The sequence below is a fragment of the Homo sapiens genome, chromosome 14 (genome assembly GCF_000001405.40).
Source record: "Homo sapiens chromosome 14, GRCh38.p14 Primary Assembly".
Lineage (NCBI taxonomy): Eukaryota > Metazoa > Chordata > Mammalia > Primates > Hominidae > Homo > Homo sapiens.
Genome location: NC_000014.9, coordinates 45,389,287 through 45,413,484, shown reverse-complemented (window position 1 = coordinate 45,413,484; position 24,198 = coordinate 45,389,287). Strand labels below are relative to the sequence as shown.

Genomic DNA, 24,198 nt, shown 5'->3' with positions numbered 1-24,198 from the left:
TTGATGCAGTTTCTTCATAGCATTGATGGTTTTTACAATTTGGCATGTTTTTGCAATGGCTGGTACTGGTTGTTTCTTTCTATGTTTCCTTCAGGAGCTCTTGTAAGGCAGGCCTGGTGGTGACAAAATCTCTCTGCATTTGCTTGTCTGTAAAGGATTTTATGTCTCCTTCACTTATGAAGCTTAGTTTGACAGGATATGAAATTCTGGGTTGAAAATTCTTTTCTTTAAGAATGTTAAATATTGGCCCCCACTCTCTTCTGGCTTGTAGGGTTTCTGCCAAGAGATCAGCTGATAGTCTGATGGGCCTCCCTTTGTGCGTAACCCGTCCTTTCTCTCTGACTGCCCTTAACAGTTTTTCCCTCATTTCAACCTTGGTGAATTTGACAATTATGTGTCCTGGGGTTGCTCTTCTCGAGGAGTATCTTTGTGGTGTTCTCTATATTTCCTGAATCTGAATGTTGGCCTGCCTTGCTAGGTTGGGGAAGTTCTGGATAATATCCTGAAGAGTGTTTTCCAATTTGGTTCCATTCTCCCCATCACTTTCAGGTACACCTATCAAACATAGATTTGGTCTTTTCACATAGTCCCACGTCTTGGAGGCTTTGTTCATTCATTTTTACTCTTTTTTCTCTAACCTTGTCTTCTCGCTTTATTTCATTCATTTGATCTTCAATCACTGATAACCTTTCTTCCGCTTGATTGAATCGGCTATTGAAGCTTGTGCATGCATCATGAAGTTCTTGTGCCACGGTTTTCAGCTCCATCAGATCATTTAAGGTCTTCTCTACACTGTTTATTCTAGTTAGTGATTAATCTAATCTTTTTTCAAGGTTTTTAGCTTCCTTGCGACGGGTTTGAACATGTTTCTTTAGCTCGGAGAAGTCTGTTATTACCTACCTTCTGAAGCCTACTTCTGTCAACTCATCAAAGTCATTCTCCATCCAGCTTTGTTCTGTTGCTGGCGAGGAGCTGAGATCCTTTGGAGGAGAAGAGGTGCTCTGGTTTTTAGAATTTTCAGCTTTTTTGCTCTGGTTTCTCCCCATCTTTGTGGTTTTATCTACCTTTGGTCTTTGATGCTGGTGACCTACAGATGGGGTTTTGGTGTGAATGTCCTTTTTGTTGATGTTGATGCTATTCCTGTTTTTTAGTTTTCCTTCTAACAGTCAGGTCCCTCAGCTGCATGTCTGTTGGAGTTTGCTGGAGGTCCACTCCAGATGCTGTTTACCTGGGTATCACCAGCAGAGGCTGCAGAACAGCAAACATTGCAGAACAGCAAATATTGCTGCCTGATCCTTCCTCTGGAAGCTTCGTCCCAGAAGGTCACCTGCCTATATGAGGTGTCTGTCGGTCCCTACTGGGAAGTGTCTCCCAGTTAGACTACACGGGGGTCAAGGATTCACTTGAGGAAGCAGTCTGTCCATTCTCAGAGCTCAAACGCCGTACTGGGAGAACAACTGATCTTTTCAGAGCTATCAGACAGGGACGTTTAAGTCTGCAGAAATTGTCTGCTGCCTTCTGTTCAGCTATGCCCTGCCCACAGAGGTGGAGTCTATAGAGGCAGTAGGCCTTGCTAAGCTGCAGTGGGCTCTGCCCAGATCAAGTGTCCTGGACACTTTGTTTACCTACTCAAGCCTGAGCAATGGTGGATGCCCCTCCTGCAGCCAGGCTGCTGCCTCGCAGTTCCATCTCAGACTGCTGCGCTAGCAGTGAGCAAGGCTCCATGGGTGTAGGAGCCGCCAAGCCAGGCACAGGAGAGGATCTCCTTGTCTACTGGTTGCTAAGACCTTTGGAAATGTGCAGTATTTGGGCGAGAGTGTCCCATTTTTCCAGGTACAGTCTGTCATGGCTTCCCTTGGCTAGGAAAGGGAAATCCCTGACCCCTTGTGCTTCCCAGGTGAGGCAATGCCCTGCCCTGCTTCGATTCACCCTCTGTGGGCTGCACCCAATGTCCAACCAGTCCCAGTGAGATGAACCAGGCACCTCAGTTGGAAATGCAGGAATCACCCATCTTCTGCGTTGATCATGCTGGGAGCTGCAGACCGGAGCTGTTTCTATTTGGCCATCTTGGAACAGCTAAGTTAGGTTTTCAATCTTGTCTACCTATTAAGTTAGGTTGCAGTTTGTCCACAAGGACTTAAATACAGTACGGAGTCCTTCTCAGGCCATAGTTAGTTTGCTTTAACACCCTCTAAGAACTGCAAAAATATAAGGATGTTCACTTTCACCACTCTTATTCAACAAATACAAGAAGTTCTTGCCAGAACAGTTAGGGAAGAGAAAAAATAAGTCATTCAAATTGGAAAAGCAGAAGTTAAATTTTCTCTGTTCCTCAATAATATAATCTTATATCTAGAAAAACCTGAAGACTATACCAAAAAACTCAGAGTTGATAGATGAATTCAATAAAGTTTTAGGATATAAAATTATATGAAGAGAAATCAATAGCATTTCTATACACCAATAACAATCTAGCCAACAACCAAATCAAGAAAGCAAACCCATTTATAATAGGTACCAAAAAAAATTAAATACTTAGGAGTAAATTTAACCAAAGAGGTGAAAGATCTATACAGAAAGAACTACAAAACACTGATGAAACAAATTGAAGATGATACAAACAAATGGATAAACATTCCATACTCATGGATTGGAAGAATCAATATTTTTAAAATAAACATACTGCCCAAAGCAATCTACAGACTCAATGCAATTCCTATCAAATTACCAACAACAGTTTTCATAGAATTAGAAAAAAAATCCTAAAATTCATACAGAACCAAAAAAGAGCCCAAAAAGCTAAATCAATTCTAAGCAAAAAGAACAAAGCTGGAGACATCACATTACTTGACTTCAAATAATGTTACAGGGTTATAATAACCAAAACAACATCATACTGGTATAAAAATAGATACACAGATCAATGTAACAGAATAGAGTGTCCAAAGATAAAGTCACATACCTACAACCAATAAATCTTCCACAAAGTCAATAAAAATATACACTGGGGAAATGTCACTGCACTCAATAAATGGTGCTAGGGAAATTGGATACATGTATTAGTCTGTTTTCACACTGTTGATAAAGACATACCCAAGACTCAGAAGAAAGAGAGGTTTAATGTACTTACAGTCCCATGTGGCTGCAGAGGCCTCACAATCATGGCAGAAGCCAAGGAGGAGCAAGTCACATCTTACATGGATGGCGGCAGGCAAAGAGAGAGAGAGCTTGTGCAGGAGAACTCCTCTTTTCAGAACCATCAGATCTCGTGAGAATTATTCACTATTAGAAGAAAGAACCACCCCCATGGTTTAATTACTTCCCACTGTGTCCCTCCCACAACACGTGGGAATTGTAGGAGTTACAATTCAAAATGAGATTTGGGTAGGGACACAGCCAAACTCTATCAATACCCATATACAGAAGAATGAAACTGAACCCTTACCTTTCATCATATACAAAAATTAACTCAAGATGGATTAAAGACCTAAACATGAGACCTGCAAAAATAAAAAGCCTAGAAAGAAACCTAGGACAAACTCTTCTGGACATCAGCCTAAGCAAAGAATTTATGACCAAATTCTCAAAAGCAAACATGACAAAAACAAAAATAGACAAATGGGACTTAACTAAACTAAAAAGCTTCTGCACAGCAAAAGAAACAATCAACAGAGTAAACAATCTACAGAATAGGAGTAAATATTTGCAAACTATGCATCCTAAAAAGGACTAATATTCAGAATCTACAAAGAACTCAAACAACTCAAAAGGGAAAAAAACAAGTAATCCCATTAAAAAGTGAGCAAAGAATATGGGCATTTTTTAAAAGAAGACATACAAGGAGCCAACAAACACCAGAAAAAATGCTCAAAATTACTAATTAGAAAAATGCAAATTAAAATCACAATGAGATACCATCTTACACTAGTCAGAATGGTCATTAGTATAAAGTCTAAAAACAATAGATGTTACCAAGAATGCAGAGGAAAGGGAATGCTTATACACCATTGGTGGGAATTTGTATTAGTACAACCTTTATGGAAAACAGTGTGGAGATTTCCCAAAGAATTAAAAATTCACCCAGCAATTCCACCATTGGTATCCACCCAAAGGTAAAGAAATCATATCAAGAAGATTCCTGCTCTCATATGTTTATCACAGCACTATTTGCAATAGCAAAGATATGGAACCAACCTAAGTTTCCATCATCATATGTATACACACTTTGGAATACTACTGAGCCATAAAAAGGAATGAAATCATGTCTTTTGCAGCAACGTAGATGGAACTGGAGACCATTATCCTAAGTGAATTAATTCCAAAACAGAAAATCAAAAAACACATGTTCTCACTTATAAGTGAGAGCTAAACGATGGGTATACATGGACATAAAGAAGGGAATAATAGACATTGAAGACTACAAAGGGTGGGAAGATGAGACAATGTGAGGGGCATGAGGGTTGAAAAGTTATCCATTGGGTAAAATGTTCACTATTCAGTGATGGGTACACTAAAAGCCCAGGCTTCACCAGTACACAGTATATGCATATAAGAATCCTGCACTTATACCCACCAAATATGTTAAAATAAAATAACCTCTTTCCCCTTCCTCACCAATACCAATAATATCACAGATAAAGAAAGTAGCTCATAGGGTAGCTCTGAGCTATGAGAAGGTAGCTCATAGTACTGGACCCTGAGGCAAAGTTTTCATGTTAGCAGGGCTCAGATGCTTCTCCTCCCCTTGCACCAAGATTCGAGAGACTACAGGCAATCATCTCACAATTTTACTGCTGGAAGGATACGGATCACTTTACCATTTAGTAAACTGAAACACAAAGGAATGTTTATATGTCCAGCTTTACATACCTAGTTAGTAACACATTGAAAACTGGAAGACAAGCTTTTTAAATTTTCGGCCCAGTATCCTTTCCATGTAATGCTGCTGTACCTACCTTCCCTCTGGAACATTTTCAACAGAAAAAGAAGATTGGCCTAGTGCAGTGAGACCAAGTTTCAAAGAAAATTACTGTGACTCTTGGCCAAGGTCCTAAACTTAAGTTTGCAGAATGGGATAACACTTAATTTGTAATCAACAAAGCTTGACTTCTAATGAAGTTTTCATCATTAGGCAATGTTTCACACTGTTTTTGAGCCCTGCAGTTACTGGACCATGCACTGCCAAATCACATTTGCTATTGTTTTATTCATTTTACGAAGTGCTGAGCACCCAGGCATGCTCCCACATGTATTCCCATTCCCATTCTGTTCTGAACACATCCTAACTTCGTATATGCTATTATTTTGTTCTTACAAGCTTATGACTACAATCCTAGGTGTACTTTTCGTAATAAGTCACACTTCTTGCTTCAGAGAAAAAAAATTGTTCAAACACAACTATTGATTTGCATCTTGCAAATGGCATAATTATAAACTCTTTCCTAGAGAAAGCATCAAAAGAATAAAATTTTGCTAATATCTATATATTGTACACACAAAGCTTAGGCAAAATCTCAGAAATAGCTCACTGATATTTTCTGATATTTGTTGGTCATCCTCTTCTGAAATGAGAGTCTGCACACAACAGGAAAATAATATTATTATATATTTCTAAATCAGCCTCCCATAAATATGGATGGCTTTCTAATATATGAGACTGGTTGCTTCTTAGTCTTTTGGCTAAGAGCAAATATAGTATCTAATGTATGAGAATAAAGTTGATTTCTTTATGCTTTAATTAAAAATAATTAATGTCTGAAATCCAGTTGTCCTTTTGCTCTTGATCTTAGCTTTTCAGCTTCTAATCACTTTTTCTAAGCTAACTACTGCTTTACTTTACCAATTTTGCGTCAGGTAAAGCTCATTCAACCTTCTCCTCTTCTTTATTTTTGTATCTAGTTACACAGTCAGAAGAACAGACATAGTTCAAAAGAAAAATATTGAGTCCAATATTCCAATCGCTTAAACCTTCTGGAAAATAAATGATTTCCTGTGCTCTTTGTAACCATGAGTATGTGGCCTTTTACATGAAGGTGAAGGGTGAAAATTTACAAGTCACAGTCTTGACAGCCGTGAAGCTAATGAAGGCAAACATCCATGCTGATGTAAGCTGGTCAGCATGGTATTTTACTATAGAAAAGTTCCAAGTCATTATTAAATCTCAAATGTTATAGCTGGAGACTTAATAGCCTCACCCCAAGCCATTATTATTTATTTGCTTAAACACCGTTTGCTAGAATTCCCTCTGCTGTGAAAATAAATTGCTGATTAGCCAAATGGGACTTAAGCCTCCCTTCACTGGTCTAGTAAATAGGGTTCCCAAGCTATGTGCCACTCACTGCCTCAAGTACTTTTGAGCGCAATTTCTTTCACAGGAAGCATCACCTCTCTACAGCCCTATACCAAGAAATCAAGATGATGAAAGGCTGAGCCATTAATTTGTAACTCTTTCATAATTGGGGTCACATTCAAGAATGAGAAAATACTTGGCAAAGAAAAATAAACCAGCTTTCAACATACCCTGTTCTTTGCAGCACATGCTGTCTATTCCCAGATTAAGATGAATAAATACTCTTTTCATGAAGATCATACACAGCCTAAAGCAGATTTAAAAGCATTTCTTGCCCTTCTTCACCTCACTATCCCCTGCCACCACCACAACTGTGTAAAATTCTGAAAGACTGCAATTTGGGCCCTTATGAAAAAACATTTCACATGATGAAATTTACTAAATTTCTAGCTCCTGTTCAGTTTCCATATGGACAAAAATAACTGCCTGGAAGGCCCACAAATTTGGAAGTCAACATTTAGAAATTTCTTAGAAAGAGAGGTGGATGATGGAAGAAAGTGAAAACATTGCTGGCATTTCATCTCTTGTCTTCGTGGCAAAAAGAGAATAGTTTCTGAATCAGCGGTAGAGGTGGAGGAAGCCGAGCACGAAATTTCTTGTGCATCTGATTCACCTGTGGAGTCAAAACATTGAGTACAGCTGATAACAAGAAGCACAAGAAGAGAAGGGACACATGGTTCCAAACTAAGAATGTTACCTCCGGTTTCTGGTAAGAAGAGAATTGCAAGATATTTTTTGGCACAAAATCAGAACACAGTTTGAATGCAAAGTAAAAATGTTCAAAAGAAAGATGCTTTAGGCTTTACCTAGGAAACTCTTCACAGGTAAGCATATGTTTGTAGTTAACGTTATCTGTCCAAACAAGAGAGCCATGTTTCATCAAACAAGTGTCTGTTCTGATGACCCAGGTACTAAGCTAGCAGGGAACATCTTTGCTGAAAACAGGGGGAGAAAGCCTTACACCTGCTTAGAAAATATATTCTCCTATGGATGGAAAGGAAAAGAATATGACAAGAAGAAAAGTGTAATTACTGAGCCTCTGACTATCACTACAAATACTCTCTTCCCCTCTTTGCTTCTCTTGGTTTCTCACTGCCCCTCTGTGTTTTTAGACTTTGTCATCTCTTTGAACTTTTGATGAATATTCATGTCTCCGTAGTGATGTGGATGTACTATCATTAAGAACAGACTGAAGTACTTAATATAGCCGCTTCTGATAAAGGAAACAGTTGGGTAGCAAGTCACCCATGTTAATGAGGGACATTTTACTATGACTAGCTAATGAGTAAAACTGTAGGGTCTAGACCTACAGAGAAAATTCGATTGCCTTATCACAACATCAACATTCCCTAAATGTATTTGGGAGATACCACCAAGTAACAATTCTTCTAACCCATTTGTCAGCTAATCAGTCACATTTACAGATCAAATATTTATTGAGCTGTGTTTTATCCTAGGCACAAGGTAAAAGAGGAAAAAGCAGACATAAAAACCTTATACCTGGGCCGGGCGTGGTGGCTCATGCCTGTAATCCGAGCACTTTGGGAGGCCAAGGCGGGCGGATCATGAAGTCAGGAGATCGAGACCATCCTGGCTAACATAGTGAAACCCCCATCTCTACTAAAAATACAAAAAAAAAAAAAAATTAGCCAGGCGTGGTGGCAGGCACCTGTAGTCCCAGCTACTTGGGAGGCTGAGGCAGCAGAATGGCGTGAACCTGGGAGGCGGAGCTTGCAGTGAGCCAAGATTGCACCACTGCACTCCAGCCTGGGCAACAGAGTGAGACTCCATTAAAAAAAAAAAAAAAAAAAAAAAACACCTTATACATAAAACTTAACTAGGGCAGATGCTTTCTGCAGATCATCTGCAGCTACTATGGAAGCTTCTCTTCACAGCCTCTTAAAACATCAGCCACTCAAGCAGCATTACCAACCAGGTAAGGTTGACGGGATGAGTAAGGGGTGAAATTCAACTTGTACTCTGCTCTCCAAAATCTGCCCTACTCAGAGGAGACATCTTTTAAAAAGTCACACAAAGGCAGCACCAGAAGCCACAGCCCTGTTTTAAAGCAGAGGGTCCCCTTCCACATGAATTATTGCACCTTTCCTTCCCTGGGTGTTTCCCAGTAATGCAGAGGCCATACCCACTTGTCAGACCTCAGCCATGGACCTACAAGCTAGAGCTGAAGTAAATAATGTAACTTGGAGCAGAAAACAAAAATCTATATACTAGTGGGACCATAACAGCACAGCCGATCTCAGATTCCTTAGAGGTTTTGACTTAAACCACATAGTTAGTTGTCATTTTATTTTAAAGTTCCAGTCCAGCTTTTCTGAGTTAGTAAGCACCCTGAAGTCCAGAGTCCTTTGTCCAGAGTACATCCACTTTTATCATACAAATTTCTCACATAATAAGGAAGGCAAGAGCCTTTCTCCAACTGACTTACTACGTTCCTATACTTGTTATTAGTAAATATGCAAAAAAACAAAACATGAAAAAGGGCTTTGAAGGAAGACAGGTTTGAGTGAATTATTTGCTGATAGAGATATACAATTTCATTCATACAGTTGATTTGCTGCTAGCAAGTTTCTCAGATTATAGGAAATGGAAACGGCATGTTTTTGTTGTGTGTCTGCTGCCTCTGTTGCAAAGATAAACCCTTAATTGGCAAGCCTTTGACATCTAATGGCATTTCATGTTATGGTCTTATAGAAATAATCTGTCTGGGCTTCGTGACAAAGTTGTTTTGTCATAATGGAGGAAAAGCTGTGATAATGCATGCGTTCTTGTTTGGTACTAAAAATTTACACTAGCTTTAGTCAAAACAAATTTGGATTCTATTACTTGAAAATGTACTTTTTATTCCTTTGATTATAAAAAATTTGGGTTAAAAGCTTATAAAAGCTAATTTTATATGAAGTTCTCTAGCAGGTTATTTATAATGTGATCCTTCCATGAATTATTTGAAATCTGTTTAGCCCGCAAAGATAGCCCATCCAAAAAAAGTCAGAGTATTTTGTATTTTAACTCAAGTCCTAGATTGCCTCTCACTGCCCATGATTCAAGAGCAACTAGAAACTATAGCCAAATCCTGTTTTTATCTATGATTAAAGACTGGTTTCAAATAGACAAGCAAGCAGCAGTCAACATATGCATTAAATGGTGCCTAATAATCGTTAATCTTTCTGACTGCCTCATCAAATAAATTAGCTGTGTCATTTTTTCAACACAATTTTTCCTCACTGCCATGATAGGCTTCAAGTTATGTCATATGAAATAGTTCTTTTTGAAATAAATCAAAAACCATGCAAAAAAAAAAACCCTTTGTCTTTAATACAAGGAAGAGAATCCTGAGAAGGATATAAACTAATGGCCTAGGTCAAAGCCAAATGTATTCATATTAGATAGCCTCCAGAGAAGCTCCCTCAAAGGTAAGACCTGCTATAGTTTGAACATTTGTCCCCTCCAAAATTCATGTGAAATTTAATCACCAATGTACCAGTATTGAGAGGTGAAGCCTTTAAGAGGTGATTGGATCATGAGGGTTCTGCCTTCATCAATGGATTAATCCAATAATGAATTAATGGGCTAATGGTTTAATGGTTTATCATGGGAATGGGACTGGTGGCTTTAAAAGCAGAGCAAGAGGCCTGATCTAGCATGCTCAGCCCCCTCACCATGTGATGTCCCACACTACCTCAGGACTCTGCAGAGAATCCCCACCAGCAAGAATGGTCTTACCAGTTGCATCCACTTGACCTTGGACTTTCAAGCCTCCAGAACTGTAAGGAAACAAATTTCATGTCTTACAAATTACCCAGTTTTAGGTATTCCGTTATAAGTAACATAAAACAGACTAAGACAGACCCCTTCCTCATAAACCAATAGAAATACATCTCACAACTCTTCTTCAACCCCAACCTAAGTTCCAAGGAGCAACAAAGTGGAGAAAAGCCTAGACCCAAATTCCTGAAATGCCTGATTCCTCTTCCTCAGCAGACTATATGTCTCTGGTCCTTTAAGATGTGTCTGATATATTTTCTTCTCTCAAACCCTTTATCTGACTCCAAACATCTCCTTCAGCCTGACTTAGGTATGGCTCCATCTTAGCACTTATCACAGTAACATAAATATCTGTTAATATGTCTTTCATTCCACGACAATATTAGTTTCTTGAGGTCAACAACTGTGTATCTCTGTATTCCTAGTACCAGCCATGATACTTGGAACATAATAAATGCTCAGTAAAAATTTGCTGAATGTAAGAACCAGGAACATAAAGATGAAGCAGTACATTTCCTCCAGCAAATGACTGCTTGGGAATATCTGTTTTACCCATTAACTCCCTGAACAACTAGATGGATCACTACAAAAGGTGGGTTCTTTTCAAAGTTTCAATCATTTTGAACAACTCCCATAGTTTAGTCATCTCCATTTCAAGGATGATCATATGTAAATGTGGTGAGCTTTTTTATTAATAGTTCATTCAACACCTCTCACGTGTCTGGCCAGTCCAGAAGAGCCAATATGGTATAGAATGCTACCTGTAGGTTTCCTTACGGAAGAAGCTAGCAGCAGGAATAGTTACCAATTAACTACTTAACTGTGAATTTCTCCAATTTTCCAAATCAATTTCTTTTTATCTCAGCCTCTAACCTCTTTATGTCCTAAGAAGCTTGCTTATTTGACACACAGGCAGAATTGTCATTTCTACTCCTCATTTACTCATGTTAGCTGAAAGAATAACATGTTTCAAAAATATTGTTCTCCACTATTTGCTTTCATTTAACCAAATGTAGCTTTACTTTGTTAAGCTCTTGAATAAGTTTGCAATTCCATTTCTGAGCACAAATCTACATTCATGAAAATGAATAGTCTTTATGCTCCTGAAAATTACATTCTGTTACTTTTTTAATGGAAAAGGATGCATATATTGCCTTTGACTAGGCTGCCTTTGTGTAGATTTATGAAAAATTAGCAATTCTATATGATTGGATCTTGATATATCTGTCTTATAAACCCATGAAGTTCTTTGATCTCCAGTTTGAATCACTAAGGTAAGCTTTTCATGAGCTGAAACAGCAGGCTTCATTTCTCCATCTGCTGCACAGCACTCCAGAGATGCCACAGGCCTAAGGAAAGTAAAAAACAAGAATATAAAGAAAATTTCTCCGTTTTTTTTTTAAGTGCCTGGAGCAAATCAAACCCAAGAGTCTAGCTGCTAAGGGAATAGGCAAAATCTATCAGCATTTCCAAGGGAAAAGATGGGTCAGTTACCCAAACACAGGAAAATGCCCTCATGCAAAAGAGAAGATAAAATAAAGTACAAAGAAATTCTAAATTGCTGTAATGTTAAAAACTTAAAATAATAAGTTAATCACTAGGAAGACTTCTTTTTAAGGGGTCTCTCTCCCTTACTTTGCTATAAAAATCACACTTTATGAAAGTGGAACAAGAAAATATGCCCCCAAACACTGAGAAAACATTATTTTCAATTTCATGAATGTGAACACACTACTTGATATTTGGTTCCTCGACCAGGTCATTAGCCATGCAAAGAAATGAAATCCTGGATGTCATATGCCCAAATTAAACAGAAATCAGCCTACTGACTCCTTAACCAAGGTTGACAAGCTCTCCAGAAGGAAGGCTGTGTCCATTAAAACTGCCAACTGTCTATTATTATCTCTTCTCTGTGTTATTATTCTATTCTTAGCTGGCAGAGTTACTCTATCCACATGAAAGCATCAGTCAAACTTCTGATTGACCACAAGAGCATTGATTAATATGGACATGAGAGGAGTCCTGCTAAAACTGCAGGATCTTCCTCCAAACAGCTCAGCCACACAAAGCCAAACTTGCTACTGTTGTAACCAGAATACACAGCTTGTTATTTTTAATTATATCCCATCCATAGTTAGGTCTTTTCTTTAGAACAGTGGATTATTATTCAGCAACATTTGAATGACAGGGGTGTGCTTACTATCCAGCAGGGACTCAAGAGGATGCCTCCTATGTTAGATTTGCTCATCAATTCACGGTAGCTAAAATGAAAGTCAAAGCACACAGTGGGTATTAAGATCTTAATTTTAGTCAAACAGCATTACCCCTGCAACACAATACATCACAAATTTAAATATATGGATCCTAAGACCTACATTTCAAAGCCTACGGACTCGTAAGAAATTTTACAATTCAAAGTGAATTCTAAATGCTTTTGACATGTTGGTGGACATTTGGAGAGCTTTTGTGCCTCTGGTTTTTGTTTGTTTTTAATGTTAGTATTGTGTAGATTCAAATCAGTGGTTCCCAAACCAGGGGTCAATTTTATCCCCCAGGGGATTTGACAGTGTCTAGAGAGATTTTTAGTTGTTATTAATGTAAATGGATGGAGGAGAGAGGTGCCACTGAATCAACCCCTAGTGACCAGGAATGCTGCTAAACATCCTCCAACACACAGGACGGCCCTCACAACAAAGAAATATCTGGTTCAACATGTCAATAGTGCCATGCATGGGTGAGAAAAACAGGGTAAGAGGAAAATAGCAATAAGAAATTTTTATTTTTTTAAAGTTATTATTTTATACAATTAATGCATTACCTAACATTAAAAGTTAAATAGCACTAATAGAACCTCTCATGAAAAAAATAGCCATCCTCTGCCTGCTTTTTCCTGTCTTGAGTTTTCCTTCTCAAACATTACATTATTTCCTCTGGCTACCCTTTATTTCTGAAGTATATACTTATACCAAAAATTCTTGATTTAAGCAAGTTTAGATATTATTGTTATTGACACTTTATTTTGCAACGAGATGATTTAGCACTCTTTTAACATCTCACTTTTTCACTTTCTTCTCTAACTTTACCTTCATTTTTCCCTGTTTTCCATTTCTCTCTGGAAGATTTTTCTAACTTTATTTCCAACCCTTTTACTGAAGTTTAATTTCAGCTGCTTTTCTTTAATTTTATTCCCAAATGTTCTTCTTGATCTCTTTTCACTTATTATTCCTTTTTTTTATTATTAGCAACTTGTTTTTGTTTCAGGAATAAAATATCTCCTCACATTTCTTTAATGTTATAAGCTAGATCCTTTTGGAAATTTTCCTTTGCTCACTGCTTTGTTTCTATTTCCTTTGAGATCTGTTTTTGTTTGCTTTTGATAGTCAATCTGTCTAATATGAGGACATTTACTTAACAGTAATATTTTGCTGTCCATTTATGTTTAAAAGTTAGAAATTGAAAGGCTGTGCATGCATGGGTAGGGTTTGCCTACTAGGGATGTCACAGAGCTCAATCTAGTGGTAATTGGCCATACTGATGGTCATCCCAACTGCCAGATGGACTGCCAACTGCCAGTCCCATCCTGCCTATTCATCAGGATAGGCTATGCCCAAAACAAACAAACAAACAAACAAAAAAATTAGTGGTTCAACATACTGGGGCAGTGTGTTCACTACAAATCAAAGTGGCTCTTAAGGGCAGGTATACTTCTCATGGTAGCTCAGCCATCTAGGCTGCTTCCAGGTTGTAGTTCCTTCACACCAGAACACAGCTTCTATGGTCACCACAGAACAGTGACCATATCACTTTCCTTCACATCCCATTGGCCACAAACAGCTACATGACTTCATCTAACTGCAAGAGGGTGGGGGGGGACATTCGAATATTTAGCAGGGAGCCATTCCGCCACTCCATTGGCTTGCCTCACATCTTTACAAGGGATATATCTCTTTTTGTGTTTAGTTTTTTTTGTGTGTGTATGGGTACATAGTAAGTGTATATATGGGCTACATGAGATATTTTGATACAGGCACGCAATGGTAATAATCACACCAGGGTAAATGGGGTATCTATCACTTCAAGCATTTATCCTTTGTGTGACAAACAATCAAATTATAATCGTTATTTTTAAATGTACAATTAAATTGTCTTTGACTATACTCACCCTGTTCTGCTAGCAAATACTAGGTGTTACTCATTCTTTCTATTTTTTTTGTACCCATTAACCATCCTCACTTACCCCAATGCTTCTACTACCCTTCCCAGCCTCTGGTAACCATCTTTCTACTCTCTATCTCCACGAGTACAATTATTTTAATTTTTAGCTCCCACAAATAAGTGAGCATATGCAGTTTGTCTTTCTGTGCCTGGCTTATTTTACTTAACATAATGACCTCCAGTTCCATTCATGTTGTAACAAATGACAGAATCTCATTCTTTTTATGGCAGAATAATGTTTCATTGTGTATATGTACCACATTTTCTTTATCCATTCATCTGTTGCTGGACACTTAGGTTGATTCCAAGTCTTGACTATTGTGCATAGTACTGCAATAAACATGGGAGTGCAGATATCTCTTTGATATACAGATTTTCTTTCTTTTTGGTATATCGCTAGCAGTGAGATTGCTAGATCCTATGTAACTCTATTTTTAGTTTTCTGAGGAACATCCAAACTATTAGTGCACTAATTTACATTCCCACCAACAGTGTGCAAAGGTTGCCTTTTCTCCACGTCCTTGCCAGCATTTCTCATTACCTAACTTTTGGATATAAGCCATTTTAACTAGGGTGAGAGAACATCTTATTGCAGTTTTGATTTGCATTTCTCTGGTGATTAATGATGTTGGGCATTTTCTCATATACCTGTTTGTCATCAGTTTGTCTTCTTTTAAAAAGTGTCTATACAAATTTTTTGCCCATTTAAAAATCAGATTATCATATTTTTTTCCCCATAGAGTTGAGCTCTTGATACATTCTGGCTATTAATCCCTTGTCAGATGGTTAGTTTGCAAATATTTCCTCCCACTCTGTGGGCTCTCTCTTCACTTTGTTGATTGTTTCCTTTGCTATGCAGAAACTTTTTGACTTGATGTGATCCCATTTCTCCATTTTTGCTTTGGTCACCTGTGCTTTTGGGGTATTACTCAAGAAATCTTTGCCCAGTCTAGTGTTCTGGAGAGATTCTCCAATGTTTTGTTGTTTGTTTGTTTGTTTGTTTGTTTGTTTTGAGATGGAGTCTCACTCTGTCACCCAGGCTGGAGTGCAGTGGCGCCATCTCAGCTCACTGCAACCTCTGCCCCTCGGGTTCAAGCAATTCTTCTGCCTCAGCCTCCCGAGTAGCTGGGATAACAGGCACACACCACCACACCCGGCTAATTTTTTGTATTTTTAGTAGAGACGGGGTTTCGCCACATTGGACAGGCTGGTCTCGAACTCCTGACCTCAGGTGATCCACCTGCCTCGCCTCCCAAAGTGCTGGGGTTACAGGTGTGAGCCAACTGTGCCCAGCCAGTATTTTCTCTTAGTAGTTTCATAGTTTAAGGTCTTAGATTTAAGTCTTTAATTCATTTTAATTTGATTTTTGTATATGGTGAGAGATAGGAGTCCAGTTTCATTCTTTTGGATATGGATATCCAGTTTTCCCAGCACCATTTATTGAAAAGACTGTCCTTTTCCCCCCATATATGCTATTGGCACCTTTGTCAAAAATAAGTTCACTATAGATGTATGGATTTATCTCTGGGTTTTCTGTTCTGTTTCACTAATCTATATGTCTGCTTTTATGCTAGTACCATGCTGCTTTGGTTATTATAGCTCTGTAGTATTTCTTTTTTTTCTTCTTTTTTTTTTTTTTTTTGAGACAAAGTCTCCCTCTGTCGCCCAGGCTGGAGTGCAATGGCACGATCTTGGTTCACTGCAACCTCCCACTCCCAGGTTAAAGTGATTCTCCTGCCTCAGCCTCCTGAGTAGCTGGGACTACAGGCCCACACCACCACCCCTAGCTAATTTTTGTATTTTTAGCAGAAACGGGGTTGCACCATGTTGACCAGGCTGGTCTTAAATTCCTGACCTCAAGTGATCCACCCACCTCAGCCTCCCAAAGTGCTAGGATTACAGGGGTGAGCCACTACACTCTGCCATCTCTGCAGTATAATTTAAAGTCAGGTAATGCAATTCCTCCAGTTTTGTTCTTTTTACTTAGGATAGCTTTGGCTGTTCTAGGTCTTTTGTTTGTTCCTACAATTTTTTTTTGTAAGGATTTTTTTTTTCTATTTCTGTGAAGAATGTCATTGGTATTTTGATAGTGATTGCATTAAATCTGTAGATTGCTTAGGGTAGTATGGACATTTTGACAATATTGATTCTTCCAACCTATGAACATGAAATATTTTTCCATTTTTTTGTATCTTCTTCAATCTCTTGCATAAACGTTTTATAGTTTCATTGTAGAGATCTTTTACTTCTTTAAGTTAATTCCTAGGTATTTTATTTTGTTTGTAGCTATTGTAAATGGGATTACTTTCTTGATTTGTTTTTCAGATTGTTCACTGTTGGCATATAAAAATGTTACTGATTTCTGTATGTTGATTTTGCATCATGCAACTTTACTGAATTGGTTTACCAATTACAACAGTTTTTTTGTGGAATCTTTAGGTTTTTCCAAATATAAGATTATATAACCTCTAAGCCAGGATAATTTGACTTCTTCCTTTCCAGTTTTGTTGCTCTTTATGTCTTTCTCTTATCTGATTGCTCTAGCTAGGACTTCTAGTACTGTGTTGAATAACAGTGGTGAAAGTGGGCATATTTGTTGTGTTCCCAATCTTAGAGGAAAGACTTTCAGTTTTCCCTCATTCAGTATACTAGTTGTCGGTGTGTCATATATCGCTTCGATTTGTTGAAATATGTTCCTCCTACATCCAGATTTTTTTCTTTATGGTTTTTATCATGAAACGATGTTAAATTTTATCACCATAGAAGGTAATATATATTATAGATAATATAATCTTACAGTTTTCACTGTATCACATATATTTTGGTATGTTGTGTGTTCATCATTATTTGTTTCAAGAAATGTTTCAATTTCCTTTTTAATTTCTTCATTGACCCACTGGTCATTTAGGAGCATATTGTTTAATTTCCATGGTTGGTATAGTTTTCTAAATTTCTCTTGTTATTGATTTCTAGTTATATTCTACGTTGTCAGATAAAATGCTTGATATTCTATTTTTGAATGTTTTAAGACTTGTTTGTGACCTACCTTATGGTCTTTCCCTTATTATCCATGTGCTAAGGATAAGAATGTGTATTTTGTAGCCATTGGGTAAAATGTTCTGTAAATATCTATAGGTCCATTTGGTCTATAACACAGATTAAGTTTGATGTTTCCTTGTTGATTTTCTGTCTGGAAGATTTGTCAAATCCTGAAAGTGGGGTCTTGAAGTCTCCAGCCATTATTTTATTGGGGTAGAAATTTCTCTCTCTTTAGCTTTAACAATATTTGCTTTAAATATCTGGGTGCTAGTGTTAGGTGCATATATTTTTACAATTGTTATATCCTCTTGTTGAATTGACTCCTTTATCATAATATAGTGACTTTCTTTGTCTCTTCCTATAGTTTTTGTCTTGAAACCTATTCTGTCTCATATAAATGTAGCTACTCCCACTCTTTTTCAGTTTCTATTTATACAGGGTCTTTTCAATCCCTTTAGTTTCCATCTATGTGTATTTTTACAGGTGAAGTATGTTTCTTATAGGCAACAGATCACTGGATCTTGTTATTTAATTCATTCAGCCACTCTATGTCTTTTAATTGGAGAGTTTAGTTCATTTACATTCAATGTTATTATTACTCATTAAAGTTGATGAGTAAGGACTATTCATACCATTTTATTATTTGTTTTCTGGTTGCTTTGTGATTTTCTCTTTCGTCTTGTCTTCCTTCTGGTCTTGCTTTTATTGAAGGTGATTTTCTCTAGTGGTGTGAATTAATTTCTTGCTTTTTATTTATTGTATATCTGGTGTATGGTTTTTTAATATGGGGTTACTATGAGGTTTGCAATTGCTATCTTATAACCCATGCTTTTAAGCTGATAACAACAACACTGTTTGCATAAACAAACAAACAAGCAAAGAGAAACCCAATAAAAACGTAACTTTACTTAATAAAAACCTTAACTTCCTTCCCCAGCTTTTTAACATTTTTTTCTGCTTATGTCTTATTGTACTATGTCTTGAAAAGTTGTTGTAGTCTTATTTTTTATTGTTTCATTGTTTAGTCTTTCTACTTAAGAGTAGTTTACACACCATAGTTACAGTCTTATAAATATTCTGTTTTTCTGTGCACTGTTAGCAGCTAGTTTTCTACCTTCAGATGGTATTTTACTGCTTTTTAATGTCCTCCTTTTCTTTCTGATGGAAGTACTTCCTTTAGCATTTCTAACAGGACAGGTCTGGTGTTGAAGAAATCCCTCAGCTTTTGTCTAAGAAAGTCTTTACTTCTCCTTCATGTTTAAAGGATATTTCAATGAGATAAACTACTCTAGGGTAAAAGGTTTTTTTTTTTTCCTTCAGCACTTTAAATATGTCATACCACTCTCTCCTGGCTAATAAGGTTTCTATTGAAAAATCTGCTTTTGCTACTTTTAGAATCCTTTCTTTATCCTTGGCCTTTGGGAGATTGGTTATTAAATGCCTTGAGGTAGTCTTTTGGTTAAAACTGCTTAGTGTTTCATCAACTTCTTGTAGTTACATATTGATAACTTTCTCTAGGTTTGGGAAGTTCTCTGCCCCTCCACACCTGTGGGCATTTCTCGTTAGATGGAGACGAGAGACTGAGAAAAGAAATAAGACACAAAGACAAAGTATAGAGAAAGAACAGTGGGCCCAGGGGACTGGCACACTCAGCATGCGAGGACCTGCACCGGCACTGGTCTCTGAGTTCCCTCAGTATTTGTTGACTACTATTTTCACTATCTCAGCACGGGGAGTGCAGCAGGAGAACAGAGTGATGGTGGGAAGAAGGTCAGCAGGAAAACATGGGCAAAGGAATCTGCGTCATAAATAAGTTCAAGGGAAGGTACTGTGCCCGATTATGCATGTAGGCTAGATTTACGTTTCTCTTTACCCAAACATCTCAGTGTAGCAAAGAGTAAGAGAGCACTATCACCACTAGTATATCTCGCCTCCAGCCACAGGGTGGTTTTCTCCTATCTCAGAATAGAATGAATGGTCGCCTTTACACCAGACATTCCATTCCCAAGGATATGCAGGAAACAGAGGCCTTCCTCTTATCTCAACTACAAAGAGGCCTTCCTCTTTTACTAATCCTCCTCAGCACAGACCCTTTACAGGTGTCGGGCTGGGGGACGGTAAGGTCTTTCCCTTCCCACGAGGCCATATCTCTGGCTATCTCAGTGGGGAGAAACCTTGGACAATACCCAGGCTTTCTCAGGCAGAGGTCCCTGCGGCTTTCCACCACGCATCGTGTCCCTGGTTAATGAAGAATGGAGAATGGCAATGACTTCTACCAAGCACACTGCCTGCAAACATATTGTTAACAAGGCATATCCTGCATAGCCCTAAATCCCTTAAACCTTGATTCAATACAGCACATGTTTCTGTGAGCACAGGGTTGGGGCTAAAGTTACAGGTTAACAGCATCTCAAAGCAGAACAATTTTTCTTAGTACAGATCAAAATGTAGTTTCTTATGTCTTCCTTTTTCGACATAGACACAGTAACAGTCTGATCTCTCTTCCTTTCCCCCACAAAACTTTCCACCTCTATCTCTTTCTCTATGTCCTTTTTAAGGCCAATAATTCTTAGATTTTCCCTTTTGAGACTATTTTCTAGAACTTGTAGGCATACTTCATTGTTTGTTTGGGTTTTTTTGTCTCCACTGACTGTATTTTCGAATAGCTTGTCTTCAAGCTCCCTAATTCTTTCTTCTGCTTGATCAATTTTGCTATTCAAAGACTCTGATGCACTCTTTTATATGTGAGTTGCATTTTTCAACTCCAGAATTTCTGCTTGATTCTTCTTATTTTAATATGTTTATTAAGTTTATCTAATAGAATTTTGAACTCCTTCTCTGTAGTATCTTGAACTTGAGTTTCCTCAAAACAGCTATTTTGAATTCTCTTTCTGAAAGATGATATATATCTCTGTTTCTCCAGGATTGGTCCCTGGTGCCTTATTTAGTTCATTTGTTGAGGTCATATTTTCCTGGATGGTCTTGATGCTTGTGAATGTTTGTCTGTGTCTGGGTATTGAAGAATTAGATATTTTTTTGTAGTCTTCGCAGTCTGGGATTGTTTGTACCTGTCATTCCTGGGAAGGCTTTCCAGGCATTTGTAAGGACTTGGGCATTGTTATCTAAGCCATATCTGCATTAGGGGACACCCCAAGCCCTGTAACACTGTGGTTCTTACAGACTTATAGAGGTGCCACTTTGATGGTCTTGGATAATATCTGGAAGAATTAATTCTGTGGACTACTAGGCAGAGACTCTTTTCTTCTTCCCTTACTTTCTCCCAAAAAAACAGAGTCTCTCTGTAGTGAGCTACTTGAAGCTGGGAGTGAGGTGACAAAAGCACTCCTGTGACCATCACCACTGAGATAGTGCTGGGTCACACTTGAATCCAGCACAGCACTGGGTCTCATCCAAATCTGCTGTAACCACTATGTGGCTATTGCCTATGTCTGCTCAAGGCTCTGGTCCTCTATAATCAGCAAGTGGCAAAGCCAACCAGGCTTGTGTTCTTCCCTTCAGGATGGTGAGTTCTCCCAGGCCCCAGGGAGGTCTAGAGGTGCTGTCCAGGAGCCAGGGACTGGAGTCAAATACCTTAGAAGTCTACCTGGTGTTCTATTGTAATGTGGCTGAGCTGGCATTCAAACCATGAGACATAGTTTTTCCCACTTGTCCCTCCCCTTTCCACAGGCAGAGGCTCTTCATTTTTAGCCACCACTACCCCAGGCCCACAGGGAATACTGCTGGGCTACCAATGATGTTCCCTTAAGGCCCAAGGGCTTTTCAACCAGTTTTGGTAAATGCTGCCAGGCCTGGGATTCACTCTTCAGGGCAGTGGATTTCCCTCTGGCCCAGGGCAGGTCCAAAAATGTCATCCAATAGCCAAGTCCTGGAATCAGAGGTCCTAAGAACCCACTCAGTGCTCTACCCACCATGGCTGAGCTGGTATCTAATGTGCAATTAAAAGCGCCCTTTACTTTTCCCTCCAGTTTTCTCAAGCAGAAGGAGTCTTTCCCCATAACCACGACACCTGGGAATGTGCTGATTCTCACCTGAAGCCTGCTAGTCTCAGAGTCTTACCCAAGGCCCATGGCATGCTACCTGGCTATCACTGCTGGTTATTCAGGGCCCAAGAGCTCTTTATTTGGCAGGTGATGAATGCTGCCAGGACTGGGTCCTTCTCTTCAAGGGAGTGGGTTCCTTTCTCACACAGGGTGTATCTATAAATATCATCTGGGAGCTAGGGCCTGTAAAGGGGGTCTCATGGCTCTAACCTGTGCCTTATCCTCCTGTTGCTGAGCTGGTACTCAAGATGCAATACAAAGTCCTCTTTAGTCTTCCCTTTTCTATTCCTCAAGTGGAAGGAAGGGGTATCTTTTGAAGCCACAAGCCATACAGCCTGGGTTTGGGGAAGGCATGGTGCGAGTCTGTTAGCCACCCAGGCTGGTCTCTCAGTAGGTCCTATATCCCCCAAATCCACTGGCTCTCAGCCCAGTTCATCACAAGAACTTGCCTAGGAGTTGCAGTCTTTGTGGCCTAGACTACCTTTCAAGTTTATTTAGGGCCCCAGAGCCCTTTAGCCCATGGTGGTGAGGCTTGCCAGAACTCAAGTTCCAGCCACTGGGATGGGCAATTTTCCCTCTGGCTAGGGCTAGTTTAAATTCTCCCACACTGTATGGGCATAAGCTGAGTTCAGCCTGGTTTTGCTTTTTGTTGTAACAGGGCAGCACTAAGTTTAATGAAAATCTTATTATCATTGTGCTCTCCTTCTCCCAAGCACACAGATTCTCTATGCCACATGTCCACTGCCAAGGAATGAGGAAGGGGTGGTGCTGGTGATTCAAGACTGTCTTTCCTACTGTCTTCTAGTGCCTCTTTAAGCTATATGAAGTTAAAACCAGGTACTGTGAGTGCTTACCTGATTTTTAGTTCTCATGAAGTTGCTTTTTCTGTGTGTAGATAGTTGTTAAATTGGTGTTCTTGCAGAGAGGACAATTAGTGGAGACTTTTATTTGGCCCTCTTGCTCAATCCCCAAAAGGGATGTATCTTTAAAAAGGAGAAAACTGCAAAAATGGGGTTTTGAATATTTGGAGAGTTTAGAATATTCAACAGGAACATATCTACCTTTCCTCCCATTCAAATATGTCCCATCTTGACATATTCTTCCTTTTGGCTTCTTTAGGGTTAGACTTGCTCAAAGAGAGAAGAAAAGGGGGAAAAATGCATTTCTGTTTCCTTTTGTCTTTTTTTTTTTTTTTTTTAATTTATTTTTTTATTGATAATTCTTGGGTGTTTCTCACAGAGGGGGATTTGGCAGGGTCTTGGGACAATAGTGGAGGGAAGGTCAGCAGATAAACAAGTGAACAAAGGTCTCTGGTTTTCCTAGGCAGAGGACCCTGCGGCCTTCCGCAGTGTTTGTGTCCCTGATTACTTGAGATTAGGGATTGGTGATGACTCTTAACGAGCATGCTGCCTTCAAGCATCTGTTTAACAAAGCACATCTTGCACCGCCCTTAATCCATTTAACCCTGAGTGGACACAGCACATGTTTCAGAGAGCACAGGGTTGGGGGTAAGGTCACAGATCAACAGGATCCCAAGGCAGAGGAATTTTTCTTAGTGCAGAACAAAATGAAAAGCCTCCTGTGTCCACTTCTTTCTACACAGACACGGCAACCATCCGATTTCTCAATCTTTTCCCCACCTTTCCCGCCTTTCCATTCCACAAAGCCGCCATTGTCATCCTGGCCCATTCTCAATGAGCTGTTGGGCACACCTCCCAGACGGGGTGGTGGCCGGGCAGAGGGGCTCCTCACTTCCCAGTAGGGGCGGCCGGGCAGAGGCGCCCCTCACCTCCCGGACGGGGCGGCTGGCCGGGCAGGGGGGCTGACCCCCCCCACCTCCCTCCCGGACGGGGCGGCTGGCCGGGCAGAGGGGCTCCTCACTTCCCAGTAGGGGCAGCCGGGCAGAGGCGCCCCTCATCTCCCGGACGGGGCGGCTGGCCGGGCGGGGGGCCGACCCCCCCACCTCCCTCCCGGACGGGGCGGCTGGCCTGGCAGAGGGGCTCCTCACTTCCCAGTAGGGGCGGCCGGGCAGAGGCGCCCCTCACCTCCCGGACAGGGCGGCTGGCTGGGCGGGGGGGCTGACCCCCCCCACACCTCCCTCCCGGACGGGGCGGCTGGCCGGGCGGGGGGCTGACCCCCCCACCTCCCTCCCGGACGGGGCGGCTGGCCGGGCAGAGGGGCTCCTCACTTCCCAGTAGGGGCGGCCGGGCAGAGGCACCCCTCACCTCCTGGACGGGGCGGCTGGCCGGGCGGAGAGCTGACCCCCCCACCTCCCTCCCGGACGGGGCGGCTGGCCGGGCAGAGGAGCTCCTCACTTCCCAGTAGGGGCGGCTGGGCAGAGGCGCCCCTCACCTCCCAGACGGGGCGGCTGGCCGGGCGGAGGGCTGACCCCCCCACCTCCCTCCCGGACGGGGCGGCTGGCCAGGCGGGGGGCTGACCCCCCTACCTCCCTCCCGGACGGGGCGGCTGGCCGGGTGGGGGGGCTGACCCCCCCATCTCCCTCCCGGACGGGGTGGCTGGCCGGGCTGAGGGGCTCCTCACTTCCCAGTAGGGGCGGCCGGGCAGAGGCGCCCCTCACCTCCCGGACGGGGCGGCTGGCCGGACGGGGGGCTGACCCCCCCACCTCCCTCCCGGACGGCACGGCTGGCCAGGCGGGGGGCTGACCCCCCCACCTCCCTCCCGGATGGCACGGCTGGCCGGGCGGGGGGGCTGACCCCCCACCTCCCTCCCGGATGGGGCGGCTGGCCGGGC

The 24,198-nt window shown here is 40.6% G+C and overlaps 1 long non-coding RNA gene across 1 annotated transcript in view; it reads right to left on the bottom strand.

Annotated features, from left to right (window-relative positions):
• Nucleotides 1-10,132, bottom strand: part of LOC105370476 (uncharacterized) — a 166,495-nt gene extending 156,363 nt beyond the window's left edge. The window contains exon 1 of the long non-coding RNA XR_943820.3: nucleotides 10,091-10,132. This is a non-coding gene — a long non-coding RNA (uncharacterized LOC105370476). The remainder of the gene's footprint in view (nucleotides 1-10,090) is intronic.
• Between the last annotated feature and the right edge of the window lie 14,066 nt (nucleotides 10,133-24,198).